Source organism: Homo sapiens, chromosome 14, assembly GCF_000001405.40.
Source record: "Homo sapiens chromosome 14, GRCh38.p14 Primary Assembly".
Lineage (NCBI taxonomy): Eukaryota > Metazoa > Chordata > Mammalia > Primates > Hominidae > Homo > Homo sapiens.
Window position 1 is genome coordinate 31,564,619 of NC_000014.9, and position 21,182 is coordinate 31,585,800.

The 21,182-nt window shown below is 37.3% G+C and overlaps 1 protein-coding gene across 12 annotated transcripts in view; it reads left to right on the top strand.

The window, feature by feature from the left end:
- Nucleotides 1-21,182, top strand: part of NUBPL (NUBP iron-sulfur cluster assembly factor, mitochondrial) — a 299,821-nt gene that overhangs the window by 3,215 nt on the left and 275,424 nt on the right. For 9 of the 12 annotated variants that reach the window (NR_120408.2, XR_007064050.1, NM_025152.3 and 6 more), the window contains exon 3: nucleotides 396-430. Coding sequence is in view for 9 of the 12 variants with exons in the window: in NM_025152.3 (NP_079428.2) it covers nucleotides 396-430 (35 nt within the window). In the remaining 3 variants the exon portion in view is untranslated. Of the gene's footprint in view, nucleotides 1-395; nucleotides 431-13,297; nucleotides 13,408-21,182 lie in introns of those variants that run through there. The other 3 variants (NM_001201573.2, XM_011537181.3, XM_047431787.1) reach the window with 2 other exon arrangements.

A 21,182-nucleotide genomic window follows, 5' to 3' on the forward strand; every position in this document is an offset into this window, starting at 1 on the left:
TGTACATTTTTTAAAATAAAAAGACAATTTTTCTATAAAATATGGTTTTGAAAATAATTGAATTATATATTAACATGATTTTAAAAAATTAAGTGGATTATTTGAACAAAATTGTAACAGAAATGGATTTTTAAAAATGTTAGTTTTGGGACATGCATCTATTGCATTTATTGGCAAATTACTTTTTTACTTTTCTTTTTACTTTCTGTGTTCCTCCATGTGCTTGCTCTTTACAAGTAAGGGATATATGTTCAAAATTTATATGCTTAGGTTATTACATGAAAATATTAAAATTACATGAAATTATTAAAAATTACATGAAAATATTAAAAGATAAAATGAATTTTAATAGAAGGAAAGTTACTAAATTCAATTACTTTTTTTGTTTCTTACAGTGAATCTTGCACTTGCACTAGCAGCGAACGATTCGGTAGGTGTTTATTAATAGAAATATTAATTTATTAAAATGTTTTTAAGGCAATGATAAAGAGCATATTGGTGTTTTTTATTTACTCTGTCAGAAGCTATAGTGTAGTTGTAGTGAGTTGCATATCTTTAAGGAACTCAATGCTGCCATCACTACTGGTTACATTTAATAATAATAATGTATTTAAGTGTTGACCATATATTGTTTGCTATATATCCCACAAGAGGCTTTGATGTTCTTTATATCCTAAACCAATTTTGCCTTTATGATTTACAGAAGCATTATTCTGGGTTCAGTTTTTAAGTGTTAGGGATTAAGTTTTTTTAAGGGGAAAGATATTCTGAAAGTAGTGTATATCCATTAAAACAAAATTCAAATGGAATACGTGTGTAATGCAAAACTGAAAGTTTATGCATTCCTTTCTGTTCCAGAGAATTAACTTAGGCTATAGTTCTATGTATATCCTTTCAGCTCTTCCTTTCTCCATATAAAAATCTAAAACAATGTACATGTATGTGTGTGTGCATACATCTTTCCATGATGTGCCTCATTCTTAATGGCTGGTGCATTAATGGTCAATGATAATATATTTAACCAGTTCCCATTTGATGAAATATTTAGGTTGGGTCCCATTTTTTCCCTACTCTAAACGATGCTATGGTGGAGTTCTTAAATAGTATTCTTATATACTAAGTGATGACATTTTTGTAGGATAGATTCCTAGGAGTAAAACTACTAGGTCAAAAGATATTCCTACTTTAAATTGTACTCCTAAAAGTTTGCTTGTAAAAAATTTCAGTTCCATTCTTTTCCTTGGGAGAAGAAAAAAAAATTCAGCTATAGTCTATGGGAGTATCAATTTTTCATAGTCTCATTATTGTTGGATGTTATCTTTTTAGATATTAAAAAAAATAACATTCAACTTATTTGCAACTCCATAAATTATCAGCTACTAAATGAAAAGGCACACACGTATTTCAGAATTGATTTTAATTTCTGCTTCATACCTATTTTATAGAATACAGGCAAGAATCATTTAATATGTTTAACTGTGGCTATACTTCTAACTTATTTTCTACCCGTACTATGTAACTTCAGTTCCTAATAAATAGCACATATGAAAAAATAATATGTGGTATCTCTGTAAGTATGTTATCAGTATATGGAGTCCAGAATCTGCCAGATCCTGGAACTAGACATAGATATTCATGTCTTCTGATGCTTGGCTGTATATTTCTGAAAATTGGAAACTAATAAACAAGATTTATAATATTTTGGTTATGTAAATTTTATTCACCATAGAAACAGGTAGCATAAAAGGACTTTTAGGGAAGAAAATGTAATTAAGTTTCTCTAAAGTTGCGCTTCTAGAAAGAGAAGATTCAAATATCAAGACAAAATTTTTTCTTAAAAAATTTTTTTTCAACTTGCTTCCTTTTATGGGGGACCTACTTTCATGTATCCCATCTTATCCTCTTTCTTGAATTCTTTTTTTTGTTTTTCTGAAGGACACCCTTGAGTCCTTATATGGTTTGGTAGGCAGAACAGTGGCCTGCCAAAAGTGTCCACATCCTAATTCCTGGAACCTGTAAATATGTTACTTTTCCTGCCAAAAGGAACTTTGCTGGTGTGACTAACACCAGCAAAATTAAAGATCTTGAGATGGGAAGATTATCCTGGATTATCTGGCTAGGTCCAATTGAAGATCCTTATAAATGAAAGATGGAGGTAGGTCCGAGTCAGAGTGACTTGATAAGAGAAGGATTCAATCCACCATTGCTGGCCTTGAAGACAGAAGGGGACCACTAGTCAAGGAATGTAGTCAGCTTCCAGAAGCTTGAAAAGGCAAAGAAATTGATTTTTCCCTAAAGCTTCCAGAAGGTACGTAATTCTGCCAACACCTTAATTTTAGCTCATTGAGATCTCTTTGGACTTCTGTGATAATATTTTATAGAAGTAGGAAACTAATACATATAGGAAGTAAATTTGCTTATTTCTTTAATTTCCAAAAGTGTCTTTAATTTATATTCGTTATTTGATAGCTTAACTAGATTCTAGTTAACTATAAAATTCCAGGTTCAAAATAATTTCCTCTCTGAACTTTGAAAACAACATACCGTTTTTTTCTAGCATGCTAATGAAATGTCTGATGATAGTCTGATTCATGTTCTTTTGTAATAACCAGTGTTTTCCCTCTCAAAGAGTTTAGGTTTTCTTTATGTCTTTTACATTTAAAAGTGCCACAAACATGCGTCTAGTTATTGGCTTAACCTGCGTGGGATTTGGCCCTGCAGTATCAAGCTTTGAGTATTTTTCAGCATAGGAAAAATTTCTTCTGCTCATTGATTATGTTTTGTGATGTGTTTGTTCTGTCTCCAGAAACCTGTTAGGTAGATACTGACCTTTATGCTTGTTAATTTTTCTGTCATATTTTGATCTCTTTGTCTTTTGCTCTGTGTTTTGAAAGATGTCTTTGACTATTTTTCACATTGCTGTATTGGACTTTAGTTGTTATTAGGTTCTTCTGATTTTGTTTTTCATTTGGAAATTATTTTTTTTTCCAATTTTTCCAGAACTATTTCTTATTTTCCACTTGCTGTTCCAAAAAAAAGGTTGTACCATTCTCTTGAATCTCTCCGAGGATGCTAATTGAAATTAATAAAAAGTGTTTTTCTTAGTGACCTCTGCTTACTTAGGATGGTTCTTGTAATGTGGCTGTTGACCAGCAGAATCAGCTTTACCTGGGAACTTGTTAGACATGTAAAATCTTGAGCCCCACCCTAGGCTTACTGAATCAGAAACCCTGGGGATAGAGATCTGCAATCTGTGTTTTAACCAACCCTCTAGGCGATTTTGATGCATGCCAAAGTTAAGAACCATGGATCTAGAATTTTCCACTTCTAACCTGCTAATGTCACCCTCTTTTGTTTTCTAGTGTGGTTATGGTTTTATTTAGTTTTAGACTATTTTGTTTCCTTGTCATTTCAATGGAATTTGGAAGAGAAGGGAGATAAACATATATGTTTAGGCAACCGTATTGAGATAAGAGCCAGTAATATGGTTTTTTTCCTAGTGATTTTAATGACAGCACTTAGTTACCCTAGAAAAAGGACCCTGTCTTCCTTAAGGAAGGAAACGGAAAATTCAATGGATGGGAAGGTAGATAAATTTGTAGGTGTGGACCTCTTTTAATTTGGTTATCATTGCAGCCAAAGCTTTGAGTCTTATAGATAATGTGAAGTAACTATGTAATAAGGGATCCAAGGATGAAAAAAACAGTTAACTCATTTCCTGTTTAGAAAAAAAAAGTGCAGCTCGCTGCCAGCACTTATTTAACTTTACATAAACACGCCCTTCGAGGCTGAACCAAATCTGACTGATTTTCAATGTGAAAATAAAATATAAAAACTCTTCTTGGAGTTATTTCTAAACAGAACTAACATTAGAATTCTCTGAATCATCAGAATTGTCTATTTCAGAAAAATTGGATTCATCAAATGAATCTTCGGCCAACAACTGTTTGAGGATGATATTACCATCACACTCAGGAATGCTACGTTTTCTAGGATTTGACATTTTCAGTGATTGAGAATTACTATATTTTGTAAATTGAAATGCTGCTACTAAAAATAGAATGCTATAAATAGAATGATGTCTTTTGTTTCCAAAGTTGATATACTAGAGTGATGTGAAAATAATAATAAAAGCAAGATATTTCATGGAGTGGCAAGATCTAATAAGATAAGGTTGTAGGCCTAGGGGAAACAGGTCCAGGAAGCAATTCATTTTACTTTTCATGTTGTACTTAGTAATATCTGAAGTGGATTGCGTAAGCCCTGGGGAGATTTGCAAGACAGTCCATTGGGATGTGGGCAGAACATTTTTCTTTTCTATTTGAATTAATTTTTATTTTAATATTTGTTTGTATATACCTTATATATGGTATTAGTATAGTAGCTCTAATATAATGTATAAACAAATATATTAACATATTGAGGATGTATGCCCAAATACCTTTTAAAAAACTGATTGGGGTACATGATCAGAAAAGTTTGAATGTCACTGGTCTAGGCTAAAGGAATTTCTGGGCTGGACCATATGCCTAGTTCAAAAGAAGACTACCTCTACCTTGTAGATTGAGTTTTTTTTGTTTTTGTTTTTGTTTTTGTTTTTTAAGATCTCGATCTGTTGCCCAGGCTGGAGTGCAGTGGTGTGATCTCAGCTCACTGCAACCTCCGCCTCCCGGGTTCAAGTGATTCTCATGCCTCATCCTCCTGAGCAGCTGGGATTACAGGTGCCCGCCACAACACCCAGCTAATTTTTGTATTTTTAATAGAGATGGGGTTTCACCATATTGGTCAGGCTGGTCTGAAACTCCTGACCTCAAGTGATCCACCCACTTCTGCCTCCCAAAGTGCTGGAGTTACAGGTGTGAGCCACCATGCCTGGCCTGCATTGAGGTTTTAAAAGCATTATAGGAATAGGGTGTAGATTTTTCCTGCTTTTTCCTTGCCTTTTATACTTTCCTTTGAGGATGTGGATGGGTAGTATTGCAGAGCAAAATTTGGGGATCATGTGTACTATGCATATAAATATTGCAACCCATGGTGTGCCTGAGCCAGTGCATACTGGCTTGTGACAGCTGATTGTTAAATTTTCGGTGAATTTTGCAGACCAACTCGTATCATGTTGTTAGCTTGAAATAGGCCCATGATGGGAATATTTAAACCATGGAAATTGGCAAACACTGAAAATCAAGCCCACTACCCCAAGCCAGTTGTTAGACCTTAATGGTACCCACTGATCTTATATATTGACAATCTTATTTTTTGATTTTTCTTTTTTCTCTTTCTTAAAAACATCCTTATTATGGATCTCATTCTTTTACGGCAAAAATTTGATGCACAGTTTGGAAGAGCACTGAGACTGGGAGAGGGAAACTTAAAGACCATCAGAAACCATTGATAAGCTCTGTGAGATTCCTAAGTCAGTTCATTTCAGTTCATTTTAGTTCAGCAAACATTTATTGAGCACCTCTAACACTCATTGCCAGACACCGGCAGAAAGTAAAGAAGAATAAACATATACTGTGGAAGCTTATAGCCTGCTAAGATTACATTCACAAATGTTTAGTCTATATAAATATGTTGTATATTTATATAAGTGTATGTCTGTGTTTATGTGTCTATATTTTTTTGGTATATAGTTGAAATTGGTTTAATAGTTTCTTTTGTGAGAAAGTTTAATTAAAGCAACATTTAATAAGGTTTTATTAATATTGCTTCATAACAGAGTAGACACCAGTGTACTCTTAAAGGTTTTATAATCTGATAAGGACAAAAGGAAGACAAATGTTTTAAAATGATGAGATATATTCAGTGTCAAATATAGTAGTAAATCTGCCCAAGATGAGTAGCTTTTATTCCAGAGTAAAGCAGTATTGTTTTAAGTAGAGCATTTTCATGAACATAATTATATTTGATTCTCACAGAAACCTGTAATGCAATCCACATAGTATTTATCAGTTTTACAGTCTTTATTGATTCTCCCCTAATATCCTTGCCACATTTCATCAGCAAGCAAATATCCCTTTTCCTATCTCTACAATATTTTTCCAGTATGTTCCCATTGTTCTATTTCCACTGTTCCTATTTTAATTAAGGCACGTGCTACTTTTGGGTCATTCATTCATTTATACCTCAAACAATTATAGAGTGCCTACTCTGTCCCAAGTGCTGTGTTAGTTCTGAAGATACAAAAATGAATGAGACACAGAATCCCTGCCTTTGAGGAACTCATAGACTAGCATCCCACTGCAATGACCTTTTACCTGCCCGTACTTAGTTAAATCCTTCCAGTACATGATGCCAGACTTCTCTCACTATTGAAATCACATACTCCCTTGCTCAGAGTCATAGCTGGATGCTTTTGCTGATATTCAATATCCTCTGCCATCTGGCTTCAATCTACCTTTCTGGGTTTATCTTTAGCTATTCTTCTAAATGGCTTCTATGCTCTAGCTAATCTGGGTTACTTGCCAAAGCCAGTCTAGGCTGGATATACTATTCTTGATAGCTTACAGTTATTCTTCTACTTGTCTACTGGAATGTTTGTGTTACCTTTCACCAGCTTTATGTGTCCTATCTTTCAGGCTTCCTTATATGGCTGTGCTGGTTATATCCTGCACAAGGATGCTTGTTGAGGGGATTGAGTGATGATAGAAATTCAGGCTACCCTCCTCTTGATGTGCACCTCTTGTTCTGTTGTTTATGATCTGTCAAAAAAAAAAAAAAGATGTGCACCCATGGGCTGCTTTGTAATTCACACAAAGGCACTGTGTGAGCTAGCCTTGCTCAGAAGGGCAGCTCAGCAGCTCATTGAAGTGTTCCCTGAATTCCTGCCAAGTGAGTGTCTTCTTCTTTTTTTTTTTTTCTCACTCTGTTGCCCAGGCTGGAGTGCAGTGGCATGATCTCGGCTCACTGCAACCTCTGCCTCCTGGGTTCAAGTGATTCTCCTGCCTCAGCCTCCCAAGTAGCTGGGATTACAGGCAAGCACCACCATGCCTGGCTAATTTTTGAATTTTTTGTAGAGACGGGGTTTCATCATGTTGGCCAGGCTGGTCTCGAACTCCTGACCTCAGGTGATCTGCCCACCTCGGCCTCCCAAAGTGCTGGGATTACAGGCGTGAGCCACTGTGCCTGGCCTGGCCCTTTCTTCATCTTTTGAAATCCAGTAACACTGTTGATTTGTATTATTATTGCACTCATGCAGCCATTCTGATAAGTTTTATAATAGGAAATAACTAACTTTCATGGAGCATTCATTATGTGTCAAGCACTGTTATATGTGCTTTCCATGGACTATTTTAATCTTCATGACATGGTTCTTAGTTCATTTACTCTTCACAGCAACGTTATGGGAATAAGTACTATTGTGATCCCCACTGTAGTTGAGGAAGCAGAAACACCTATAGGTTAAGTAATTTGCCTCAAGTCACCCAGAAAGTAAATGGCAGAGCTAAGGTTCGAATGCCAACCTAGATCCTGTGCTCTTAACGTACTTGGTGTATTGCTCCTATTTTAGCTAGATTCTTTTTTTTTTTAATTTTTTTTGTGATGGAGTCTTGCTGTGTCACCCAGGCTGGAGTACAGTGGTGCAATCTTGGCTCACTGCAATCTCCGCCTCCCGGGTTCACACCATTCCCCTGCCTCAGCCTCCCGAGTAGCTGGGACTACAGGTACCCGCCACCACACCCATCTAATTTTTTGTATTTTTAGTAGAGACAGGGTTTCACTGTGTTAGCCAGGATGGTCTTGATCTCCTGACCTCATGATCCGCCTGCTTCGGCCTCCCAAAGTTCTGGGATTACCGGCGTGAGCCACTGTGCCTGGCCTAGCTAGATTCTTATGATTAAGAACTAGGTTGTCTTTATTCTTGGCTACCCTCAGCAGCTAGCGCAATGCCTTATGACTTAGAAAATACATGGTAAATGTTTGCTATACGTATGATTGTACAGGCAGATTTGAAAGTATTAAGTGTAAAGTTTCGTTTTACTTTATTTTTTGTGAGAAGTGGTATGGGATGGAGGTGTTTGTTGCGACTTAGTGGCCTACACACTGTTCTTTTCCTGCTTCTTAAAAGATGACGTATGGTCATGCTTTACTTTATGATGGGGGTACCTTCTCAGAAATGCATCATTAGGCGACTTCATTTTTGTATGAACTGCGTAGAGTGTACTTAAACAAAGCTAGATAGTATAGCCTACTGTACACCTAAGCTATATGGTATAACCTATTTGTCCTAGGCTACAAACCTGTATAGCATGTTACTGTACTGAATACTGTAGACGTTTGTAACACAATGGTAAGTATTTATGTATCTAAACAAAGAAAAGATACAGTAAAAATATAGTATAAAAGATACAAAATGGTACCCCTGCATAGGGCACTTACCATGATTAGAGCTTGCAGGACTGATAGTTGTTCTGGGTGAGTCAGTGAGTGGTGAGTGAATGTGAAGGCCTAGGGCATTAATGTACACTTTTGTACAAGTAGCACAGTAGGTTTGTTTACACCAACATCACCATAAACACGTGAATCATGTGTTGTGCTGTGATGTTATGATGGCTGTGCTGTCACTAGGCAATGGGAATCTTTTAGCTCCATTATAATCTTATGTCACCACCGTTGTATATGCAGTCCATTGTTGACTGAAATGTTGTTATGGGGCATATGTCTGTATTCCATGATTCTACTTGGCCCTCTTCTCATTTTATACTCTACCTAGTGATCTCAGCTTTTCCCACTGCTCTGGTTACTAGTCACGTGCCTTTACTCCAGATGCATCACCAGCTTGCATATCTCTCCTGGGTACTAGTCTGGTCTGTCTGGTTTTCTATGGTAGATGTGTATTTGAATGCTTTATAAGCATTTCAGACTCAGCATGTGTAAAACCAAACTCTTCATCCCTGTGACTGTCTTTGTCTCATGGAAGTCTGTCTACCTATCTATGTTTTTTTGGTGGAATATAGCTGAAAGAATCATACAGTTACTTCCATTCCCAAATCAATTACCTGTTCCTGCTGCTTCTGCCACTTAAAGTTTTATAGACTGTGTCCTGTTATTTCATTCCTTAATGCCACTGCTTTATTTGGATCCATATTGTGGATCTTCTGTGATGACTTCTTTTACTATTATTCCAGCATTAGGTTATTCTTGTTCTCTATTTTCTCTGCTATGGTGCCTTGAGGAAAGGATGAACACTTTCTATATTATTTTATAAAGTTTGTTTACTATCTCCTCTGCTAGTCTGTGAATATTTAGGGGACAATAATTTTGGTTTTATTCCTTTTTTTAATCCTTGGTGCCTTGTCCAGTAATGGAACATAGTAGGTTCTTGATAAATGTTGGTAGTGACTGTGGAGCATGTTAAGTGAAGAGTGGCCACAAATGAATGAATGAGTGAGTGAATAAATAAATAAAATATACACAGCAAATTCCAAGTGTTGGATAAGGTGCCTATAGTTTTGTTCAATACATATTATGCTTTATTTTTCACTGAGCAAATGAAGTAATTAAAATCTGAGATAATGTGTTTGAAGCGCTTAGCACAGTGGCTGACCTATCATAAGTTTGAAATAAATTTTTAGTATTGCTAGCTAAATAAAAGCTTTTAAGTAATATTGCAAAATAAATCAGTGCACATCTTATGTACTCAAAAAAAATTTTTTTTTTTTTGAGACAGAGTCTTACTCTGTCACCCAGGCTGGAGTGCAAGTGGTACGATCTCGGCTCACTGTAACCTCTGTCTCCCGGGTTCAGGGGATTCTCGTACCTCAGCCTCCTGAGTAGCTGGGAGTACAGGTGTGTGCCACCATGTTCAGTTAATTTTTTGTAGTTTTTTAGAGACAAGCTTTTGCCATGTTTGCCAGGCTGGTCTTGAACTCCTGACCTCAAGAGATCTGCCCGCCTCGGCCTCCCAAAGTGCTGGGATTACAGGTGTAAGCCACTGCGCCTGGCCTACTCGATTCTTTCCTTCTTTTTTTTTTTTTTTTTTTTTTTGGAGAGATGGAGTCTTGCTCTGTTGCCCAGGCTGGAGTGCAGTGGCCTGGTCTTGGCTCACTGCAACCTTTGCCTCCCGGGTTCAAGTGATCTTCTGCCTCAGCCTTCCGAGTAGCTGGGATTACAGGCACATGCCCAGCTAATTTTTGTATTTTTATTGAGATGGGATTTCACCATCTTGGCCAGGCTGGTCTTGAACTCCTGACCTCAGGTGATCCGCCTGCCTCGGCCTCTCAAAGTGCTGGGATTACAAGAGTGAGCCACTGCTCCTGGCTGGCCTACTTGATTCTTTTAGCAACTTATTTTACATTTTTACTGATTTTTCCATTGCTACAAGGAATCATTAACCAGAATTTTAATTGGACTTAAAGATGGGAAAGAAAGCAGTTTTATCTTCAAAGAGTTTATGTTTCTTCTGTTATTTCTTTTTTATTGATGTTTATCTCAAAGCATTTATTTTTTTCTCATGATTACATAATGTCTTAACACTTATTCTTCCTAGATGTACTGCTTTTTTTCCCCGCAAATTATTATGAGTGGTTCTTTAAACATAATTAAGATTATCTTTAGCCCTTTGAAGTTCTGTGATCATGTCAGAACAAACTAAGAAATTGTAATTCAAGATTTAGGTTTTGATTTTTGAAAGGTTCAACAGTCTTAAGTCAGAATATATTTTGTATCACCACTTACAACACTATGATTTTCTTCATTAATAAATATGTATATAGTATCTAATAGTCCAGCATTTTTGTGTGAGATACATCTGGGCTTGATTCTGGCTCTGCCTCCTGCAAACTCTGCGACTTTTGCCTGTACCTACCTAATAACGTTGTTGTGAGTATTAAAGGAAATAACTCATGTAAAGCACTTAGCACGGTGTCTGGCATACAGTAAATGCTAATAAGAGTTGTTCTTATTAGCTCCGTGTTATTATAATCTGGAATATTAGTTATGTGAATTTGGAGTAAATATGGATGAAAATATGTTTCTCACAGTTACATATGGCAAATCCTGATGTATACTATTTAGTTCAAGTTTATAAGGTTGGAGGCTCATCTTTTCTTTAATACATGTGTTGTAAAGGGATTATGCTATATTAAATTAACCAATTCTTAATACTTTTATTATAGCTTGGAAGTAAATACAATACATAACATTTCTTATGAAAAAAATTGTGTTTCAGTATTGTGGTTAGCCATTTTGGAGGAAAGGTATGCTATTTTTGTTTAAAGTATAGTTATTTTAAAGCTAGAGCAGAAACCAGGGCAAAAGGTCAGATTCAGAAGGAACAACTGCAAAATCATTATTTTTTGCTTTTTGCTTGTCAATTCAAAGGCAATTCTTGGTAAGAAATGTGTTTTATATTTATAAGTGCATTTGAATTCACACATTTCATGTTCACTGAGAGAGGGGCTCAGAAACTATATTTGTAATTATAAAGCAAAACTGTTTACTAAAACTAAGAATATTTTCAGGATAAGAAATGGAAATACTCATTATAATTGTTTAATTTTGTCGTGAATATTTGATAATTGTGACATCTACACACACACTTTCATATATTCATTTACCAAATGTTTGCTAAGGGCCTGTCATCTCTTAGGTGCTCTGATTGGCATGGGGGATACAAAATGGAAAGAGCCCTGTCCTTGTCCTTTTCTTCATTTATTTTTAGAGACAGTATCTTGCTCTGTTGGCCAGGCTGGAGTGCAGTAGCATGATTATAGCTTACTGCAGCCTTGAACCCGTGGGCTCAAGCAATCCTCCTGGTTCAGCCTCCTGAGTAGCTGGGACTATAGGTATGTGCCACCATGCTTGACTAATTTTTTATTTTTGGCAGAGACAGGATCTCACTATGTTGCCCAGGCTGGTCTGAAACTCTTGGGCTTAAGTCGTCTTCCTCCTTTAGCCTCACAAAGTGCTGGGATTACAGGTATGCACCACTAGGCCTACCTTTATCTTAGTTAATGTATAGCCTAGAGACTGTTTGGGAGATTGTTGTTTCCAGTTTGCTCCAGGCTCTCTATATGGCTTGATGATTCCTTAACTATCTGCAGTCTTCTTGTCATTTACCACAGATGCTCTTCTAAATCGTTCCCACTTTTATCAGGTCCTCTATCCAATTCCAATTTCCTTATTCCTAGCACATGGTCTTGCTTCCTATTCCATGTGAAAAATGGACTTTTCATTGGTAACTTATCTGGAGGCTTTTCACTCACAAGTTTGGTAGCTGCCCTGAAATGACATGAAGGCTTAGTTCAGGTAGGATTGTTGATTGCAGTGCTTTTGCATGGCTGTTCCATGTTGCATGGCCTTCCTCAGCATGGCAGCCTCAGTGTAATTGGACTTACTTGGTGGCTGAGAGCTCTAAAAGTTAGTGTCCCAGTGAATAAGGAGGAAGCTGTATGGCTTTTTGTGACCTTGCCTTGGTAGTCAGGCTGGATTAGTGGTTGAAGTAGTTATGTGCCTTCCCACATTCAAGGGGAGGAGACAGACCTCCCTTTTGATGGGAGGGGTATCAAAAGCCTTGAAACCTTAACATCATCCTTGTCTTTCATCTCTTTCATCTCACCCACTCTACTTCTATATATCAGTCACTAAGTGGGTTTTTATTTGAGAAGTATCTCTTTCTCTCCACTGTCGTGAACCTAGCTAAGAATTTTATCATCTTTCACTTGAGAGTTTTCCATAACCTCTTAATTGGTCTGTTTAATCTCATCCACCTTGAATTAAATAATGGTTCTTCATATTGATTGTAGGGTAGTTCTTATGGCCTACAGGCCTCTGCTGAGATTGCTTGGCTTGGTTTGTTTGTTTGTTTGTTTTGAGATGGAGTCTTACTCTGTGGCCCAGGCTAGAGTGCAGTGGCCTGATCTTGGCTCACTGCAACCTCCACCTGCCAGTTTCAAGCGATTCCCCTGCCTCAGCTTTCCAAATAGCTGGGATTACAGGTGCCAGCCACCACGCCCAGCTAATTTTCGTATTTTTTAGTAGAGATGAATTTTGCCATGTTGGCCAGGCTGGTCTCGAACTCCTGACCTCATGATCCACCCACCTTGGCCTCCCAAAGTGCTGGGATTACAGGCATGGGCCACCGCACCTGGCTGCTTGGCTTAGTTCTTAAGGGTTGGATTCTGCCTAATTTTGCACTCTGTACTTGATGTTGTTGGCACTGCTCCTTTACACTGGCTGTCTTCCTTGCCTTCTTTGCCCAGCTCCTGTCATCCTTCAGGTCTTGGATTGGATGTCACTTCCTCTGTGGAGCCACCTTAGTGGTTTCAAGTAATGTCATTTCCTCCTCTATTGGTTCATATGTTTATCTCATGCCATTAGAGTGACCATGACTTTCACAAGGTCGGGGACTGCGTCTTAAATCATCTGCCACTATTGCCTGGCCCGTTGTTATGAACTCAGTAAATGGTAAGTGATTGAAAACAGATTACACTTTGGCAGAATTCTCCAAAGTTTTGAATGCATTACTGGGTTTTCTAAAATGTCCATAATATTACCAAGGAATCATTTTGACTTGGGAGAACTATGCTTAGAGAAGGTTTTAGGTAAGGGAGTTTATATCTTGTGCTTCAACATTTTTATTTCAGTTAAAACATATACAGCAAAACCCCAAAAACTTGTTTGAACTCTTATTCTAATATGCCAGAAAATTTAGGAAAGTGGGCAAGTATTAGATTTAAAACAAGCTTTGGTAAGATTAAGGGCTCTGAGAATTGAAATCAGAACAGTTTTGTTTTCGGTTGTGGCATTTTAAAGCTTTAATTTTGGCTGTGAAATATTTCACGTGACAGATTTCATTCCAGCCTGTTTCTTTCTGGTCAGGAATGTGTGATGGTTCACTTTTGGCAATTGCACTATGTGAAAGGGCTTGGGTCAGCACCACTGTGCAGAAATGGGTCAATGAGCGTTCAGATGAAAGGGAAAACACTTTTAAAGAACCTTTATATATTGCTGATGTAATAAGACAAAACTCATTATAAGCTTGAAACTCTCACCATGTTCTTGCTTTCTCCTTCATCTCTCAAATGCTTTGCCAAATTAACCACATCAACTAATTTTACAGAAAATGGATTGCTGAAGAAGCTTCTTCAGAAAGTCTCTCTCTCTTGTCTTCCAAAAGGACATAAGTCTCCTTTGTACTTCTGTAAAAATCTTAAAATGGCCACTTAAAGAGAGCGGGCAGCTTGTTGTAATTCAGTGAATGATAAAGTACAACCGCCTATTTTTCAGTTGAGTTGGGAGGAAGAACTGTATCCTACTGTTGCTTTAAAAGATGATTTTATTACTGTCAGGACAAATAACAAGCTAGGATTTTCTCAGAGCAATAACTGACGAGTTAGATTACTGCCTGTGGCTCTTAAACAATGTAACATTCTTGAATTAAGGAAGGAAAGTACTCAGGTAGTCTTTGAAGGAAGTCTAGGTTCCCTGCATGGCTATAGGGTTGCTGTTTCACTTTTTTCTGAGTAGATAAGGAAGCATAAGCCTTCTCCAAACCCTGGAAAAGCCTTTGCTCTCAAATTTGTGCTGGAATGTTATCTGGAGTGTGATGGAGCCCTTTGCCAGTCACCATGGAAACTGATGAAGGCTCTAGTTGTCCTTTGGGCTATTTGGGGTGGCTTAAATAAAGGATGACCAATGCGTCTAATCCTGTTCTCCACATACGCTTTTTCTTTAAAAATGATTAAAAATACAGCTTACTTAAGGAGGAAAAGGATATCTGTATCATGTTTCTATTAGGCTATTTAAAACATTGTGTGCAGCTGAAGGGTATCCCGGCCAAGAAACGTTAATGAAAACTATCATTCTGGATAGGCATAATTCCACTGGTTTCTGATGTTGTCTGTTAGCCCCCAAGCTGATATATGCAACAGAATAACAAATGCTAATTTTCCGTTTACCTACTTAGTGATGGAAAGGAACTTGTCATAGAAATGAAGACATGGGTAGTATTTTAGTATGTCATTGCCAAGTGAAATGCAGTTTCAGTGGTGGTGTCAGACATAAAAATTAAAAGCATCTGTGAGCAATTAAAGCATTAATTATTCTTATTTTGCAGACATCTCATAGCACATTTTCCAGAATCACCAGTCCGTAGCTAAAGCTAGGGAAAAGAAGTCTTACGGTAATCTTTAGATGTCCATATTTTGGCAGTCCCTCCTGTTCCCTTAAGTGGGGCACAGAGGAGGAAGATCTGAGCAGAAACTATTAATATCTAGGGTGTTACCTGGTGCTGATAGAAGAATGTTTCTTAATTAGTTAATTTAAAAAATTGAGGTGAAATTCATATTGATAGAGTTTTGGTTTGTGAGCCACACTGATTGCACTGTGAAGGATTTGTTCCATTTTCAAGGTCTGACCCTGATTGAAAAGGCAAAATGGGAACTTAAGATGATTGAGGCTTGCCTCTTGGTTGTTTCAAATAACATGCTTTCCTTTAATGTCCAATAAAGGCTATTTATATGAAATGAAAATCAAGGATATAATACTCAGTGCTTCTACAAATAAGGATAATTTTATTAATTAGTTCAAGATTTTACTGAGTACTTTACATGTGCTGTGTGCTCTTTTTAGTCCTAGAGATGTAGTGGTAAAATGTGTAAGTTTCTGTTCTTAAGGAGTTTAAGTGTATTGGAAGAGACATAATAAACATATACTTTTAGGTGGTTATAATGGTTACAAAAAATAATAAAAAAGTGTAAGGATGTAGAAAGTGATGGGAGGTCTGGGTGCTGTGGCTCATGCCTTTAATCCCAGCAACTTAGGAGGCTGAACTGGGAGAATTACTTCAGGCCTGGACTTTGAGACCAGCTTGAGCAACATAGTGAGATCCCCGTTTCTACAACAACAAGTAGCTGGGCATGGTGGCGTACAGCTGTAGTCCCAGCTACTCAGAAGGCTGAGGCAGATCACTTGAGCCCAGGAGTTCGAGGCTGCAGTGAGCTATGATCACACCACTGTGCTACAGCCTGGGCAACAGAGTGAGACCCCCATCTCTAAAATATAAAAAATAAAATGAAAGTGATAGGAGGTGCAATTTTAGATAAGGATGTCAGGGAGGAGATCTCTGAAGACATGACATTTGAGCAGACATCTGAATGAATTGAGTAATTGGGCCACAGGAAGAGCAAAAGCCCTGAGGTAGAATCAACTTGGATTATATGAAGTGTTTTTATAAATGGGAGGAAAGCCTCATGAACAGAATAAACAGGAAGAAGGTCCATGTGATTGGAGTGGTCTAGGGGAAAGGTAGATAGAGGCATGTCATGCAAAGCCTCATAAGCCGTGGTGGAAATTTGGATTTTTTTCTGTGTACAGTGTAGTGGGTTTTTCACCAGGGCAGTGACAGTCTAATTTACTCCTTAAAAGGATCTGGCTGTAATGTAGAGAATAGAGTATAGGAGAATAAAAATAGAACAAGACGACTAGCTAGTAGCTAATGCCAGTGTGTAAGCTAAAGTTGATAGCTTGGACTATGGTGGTAGAGGTAGTGATAAGTACATCTGTTCCAAAGATATTTTGAAGATAGAGCCAGGAGGACTTGCTGATGAATTGGATGTGGATGGTGAAGGAAAGAGATGGTTCTTTTTTTTTTTTTTTTTTTGGTATGGTAAAATATGCATAATATAAAACTGACCATTTTAATGATTTTAAAGTGTGCAATTCAGTGGCCTTAAGTACATTAACGTTGTGTAACCATCCTCACTATTCATCCCCAGAACTTTCTTATCATTCCAAACTGAAACTCTATTCATTAAATAATAATTCCCCGTTTTCTCCTGTTCCTAGCCCCTAGTAACCACTAATCTACTTTCTGTCTCATGAATTTGACTGTTCCAACTCGTATAAGTGGAGTCATATAATATTTGTCCTTTTATGTCTGGCTTATTTCACTTAGCAAATTGTTATCAAGGTTCATCCATGTTGTAGCATATATTCAAATTTCACTTCTTTTTAGGTTCTTTGGTTTTGCTTTTAGCAACTATGTGAATAGTATTGAAATTTCCTGGGATGGAGAAGACTCTTGAAGGAGAGGTTAGGGGTTAAAAATCAGTTCTCCTTTACACATGTTAAATGTAAAACGCGTGATAGACACCCAGGTGGATATGTTGAGTAAGTCTGGGGCTTGGAGGAGAGGTTGGGGCTGGAGATTTAAATTTGGATGTCAGCATAGTATAGGTGGTTTTTAAAGTTATGAAACTGGGTAAGTTTACCTCAGAAGTAAGAGTAGACTTGAGAAAGTGGCCTTTTAACTAGTACAATTTAAAGTTATGATAAAGGAATACATATATTCTAAGATGTACACAAATTGCTAAATTTATAAAATTTTAAAAGTTGGCATTGATTTTTAATGTTTTAATTGATATAGCACATTAGTTTTAAGCAGTTATTTGCTTGTTATTTTGTTAGTCAATTCGTTTACTTTCATTGGCTTGAAATAGTGGTAAGCCTTGTTTTTTAGTAGTTCTCTAAGAAATTAAAAAAATAAATTAGTGTCAAGGTGAATTGGGTACTGGCTAGAATGGCTGTTTTCAAAAGTCACACATATAAATTTTATCATAGTAGGGACAATTTGAAAATTAGTAGATGCCATAGATAATAGGATTAATTATGTAAAAATTAATTTATATGTAAATATAAAATTAATAGATAATAGGATAAAGGGGGCTTGTTTATGAATGGAGTATTCTAGTGAGCAAACACCAGCTGTGTGTGACTAAGGGTGGCACCTATCCAGGGGAAGGATGTTTTCAGGAAAATTTGTGTACTTTTTTTTTTTTTTTTTAACAGCAGAGAGGCTTTTTAGTTAGACTACTGGTCTCTTTTCTTTTCCAAAGGATTAAGTTTCAAAAGAAGGATCAGACCACTCTTGTGGGGTGAAATGGGGGTGGAGGAAATATTTGGAACAAGAGGAATGTTTGCAGCAACACTGGAGTAGAACTTTCCCTAGACGCTGTGGTTCATAGGCATCTGACCAAGTCTTTCAGAGGCAAATCTTAGTATTACTTATTTTTTTTTCCATTTAATGAGAGTTGCTTAGCTTGATTAGCTCCCAGTTTTGTCTTTACAATGGTCATACCACAGAGCTTGTGAATATCAATTCTTTTACATTTCCTTATTATAAACGATACATGTTTTGAGCATCATGTCTTTACAAAAGTAGCCTGATAGTAGAAATTGTTTTGTAATAGAGAAAAAAGGATTTGGTTTTATGTTACTAAAGATGTTACAATTAATCAAAAGAAAAAGGAAAATTTGAAGATTTAGGGAGTCTACCAAATGTCATTTTTAAAGGAGGAAATTAAAGTCAGGAAAGAACAGACTTGCTTGGAAACATGTCCTATAAATGGAACTTGAGTAGCTAACATCTGCCTCTGACAAAATTCCCTGCAAGGCTGCTATTTTTCCTTGTAGTCCTTGAGTTAGGGCACTGACATTTTCATATTTGCCGTGGAAATGATTGTGATAATATAAATGATGTTTTATTTTTATACATGATTAGATAGGGAAGATGGAAGCCAGCTGTTTAAATGCATGTCTTATGAAACGCTGCAGGAAATATAACATAGGCAGTAGTAAATCAAAGGTGGCAGAGAGGGTATTGCTGAGGCTCATGTAGCAGGGATGGGGCAGAAAACCTCTCTTGTTTCTCTTGGTGACTGCTGGTTTTAGCTCTTGCAGAGTTGGGTAGGTTAGCCCATTACATCACACAGCATGTGGTTTTATGATTTAGAGGACCCAAGGCATTTCTGTAAAGCACGTTTATTAACTACCTGCTATATATTAGACACTGTGGTGGGAATTTTGGATAAAATGGTAAATAAGATAGTTTGAATTATTTATTTACATCTGTGATAAGTGCCACAAAGAAGTCCTGTCCTCAGGAAAGCAGATAACAGGATACTGATCCTAATCTGAGGATTGAGAGAAGACTTCCCCCAGTGAGTAATACTAATTAGATCTGCTTTCCTACAACCATTATTACTCCCTATCTCTAAGGGCAATAGGAACAATTTTAAGCATGGTATAAAACCGGTCAGATTTTCTTAAAAATTACTTTGCTGTTGTATGGAGAATGGAGGGGATGTTAGAGTGGATACTGGAGATCAGGTTAGGCTATTACAGTAACCTCAGCAGGAAAGAGCATGGTGATATCTTGGACTGGAGTGTTGACATTGGAAATGGAGAAGGAGGTAGAATTGGTAGGTCTCGGTTATAGATTGGATATGGGAGTGGAGAGGAAGGGCTCAAGGATGACCGCTATTGCAGGTTCTTGACTGTACAACTGAGTTGATGTTAGATATATTTTCCCAATGCATTTGAAAATAATATGCATATTTTCAAGTTTGGTACACAAAATTGCCCTTGCTTATGAAAATTCACAAATGTGTTGTGTTTTTCCAGTCGTCCTTTGGTCAAGATGCAAAACCACAGTACTTTTCAGCCTTTACCGTTTTACCTACTATTAAGTAACCTATGTATTTGATTAAGGCTTGCTAATTGTCATAATTGACTGAAGTTCCAGCAGTTTTCTTTTTTTTTTTCCTGACAGGGTCTTGCTTTGTTGCCTAGGCTGAAGGCACCCAACTTCTGCCTCCCGGGCTCAAGCAATTCTCCTACCTCAGTCACCCAAGGAGCTGGGACTACAGGCATGTGCCACCACTCCCGGCTGATTTTTTAATTTTTTGTAGAGATGGGTTCTTATTATATTGCCAAGGCTGGTCTTTAACTCTTGGGCTCAAGTGATCCTCCCACCTTGGCCTCCCAAAGTGCTGGGATTATAGGCATGAGCCATTGCACCTGACCCCCAGCAGTTTTTTAAAAACAGTTTTAGAGATGTAGTTCACATATTGTGCAGTTCTTCCATTTGAAGTGTACAATTCAGTGGCTTTTAGTATATTTACAGAGTTTTACATCCACCACCACCAATTTGAGAACATTTTCATTACTTCCAAAAGAAACCCCATACCCCTGAACTGTCACTCCTTAATTCCCCCATATACCCAAGCCCTAGGCAACTACTAATCTACTTTCTGTCTCTATAGATTTGCCTATTTGGGATATTTCATATAAATGGAATTGTCTTAGGTTGGGCTACTGTAACAAACTACTGTAGACTGTGTGGCTTAAACAACAACTTGTTTCTCACAGTTCTGGAGGCTGGGAAGTCCAGGATCAAGATACTGGCAGATCCAATGTCTGGTTGAGGGCCTGCTTCCTAGTTTGCAGATTACCTTCTCATTTTATTGGATTATCACAAAGTGGAAAGAGAGTGAGAGAGCTCTTTGGGGTCTCTTTTATAATGACTCTAATCCCATTCATGAGGCCTCCACCCTCATGGCCTGATTATCTCCCAAAGGCCCCACCTCCCAGTGCTTTCACATTAGAGGTTAGGATTTCAACATACGAATTTTAGGGGACACAGATATTCAGTCCACAACAGGAGTCATACAATATGTGCTTTTTCTGACTGGTTTCTTTCACTCAGCATGTTTTCAAGGTTCATCCATGTTGTAGTGCAGGGGTGTCCAATCTTTTGGCTTTCCTGGGCCACATTGGAAGAAGAATTGTCTTGGGCCACATATAAAATACACTAACACTAGCGATAGTTGATGAACTTAAAAAAAATCACAAAAAAATCTTATAATGCTTTAAGAAAGTTTACGAGTTTGTGTTGGGCCACATTGAAAGCTGTTTTGGGCCACGTGCAGCTCTGAAGTTGCGGGATGGACAAACTTGTTATAGTGTATTTGGTACTTCATTTCTTTTTATTGCTGAATAATATTCCATTGTATGGATGGATCATATTCTGTTTATCGATTTCATCAGTCGATGGACATTGGAGTTGTTTCTACTTTTTGGCTATCATGACTCATGCTGCTATGAACATTTGTGTGCAAATTTTCGTGTGTACGTATGTTTCAGTTCTCTTAGATATATACCTAGCAATGGAATTGGTGATCATACGGTAACTCTCTGTCTAACTGTTTGAGGAACTGCCAGGCTGCTATCCATATTTCTGTTCTATTTCACATTCCCACTTGCAGTGTGTGAGGATTTGATTTTCTCTATATCCTCACCAATACTTATTTTCTGTCTTTTTGATTATAGTCATTCTCATGGTTATGAAGGGTTATCTTGTGGTTTGATTTGCATTTCCTGACTGTGTTTCTGTTGGACTA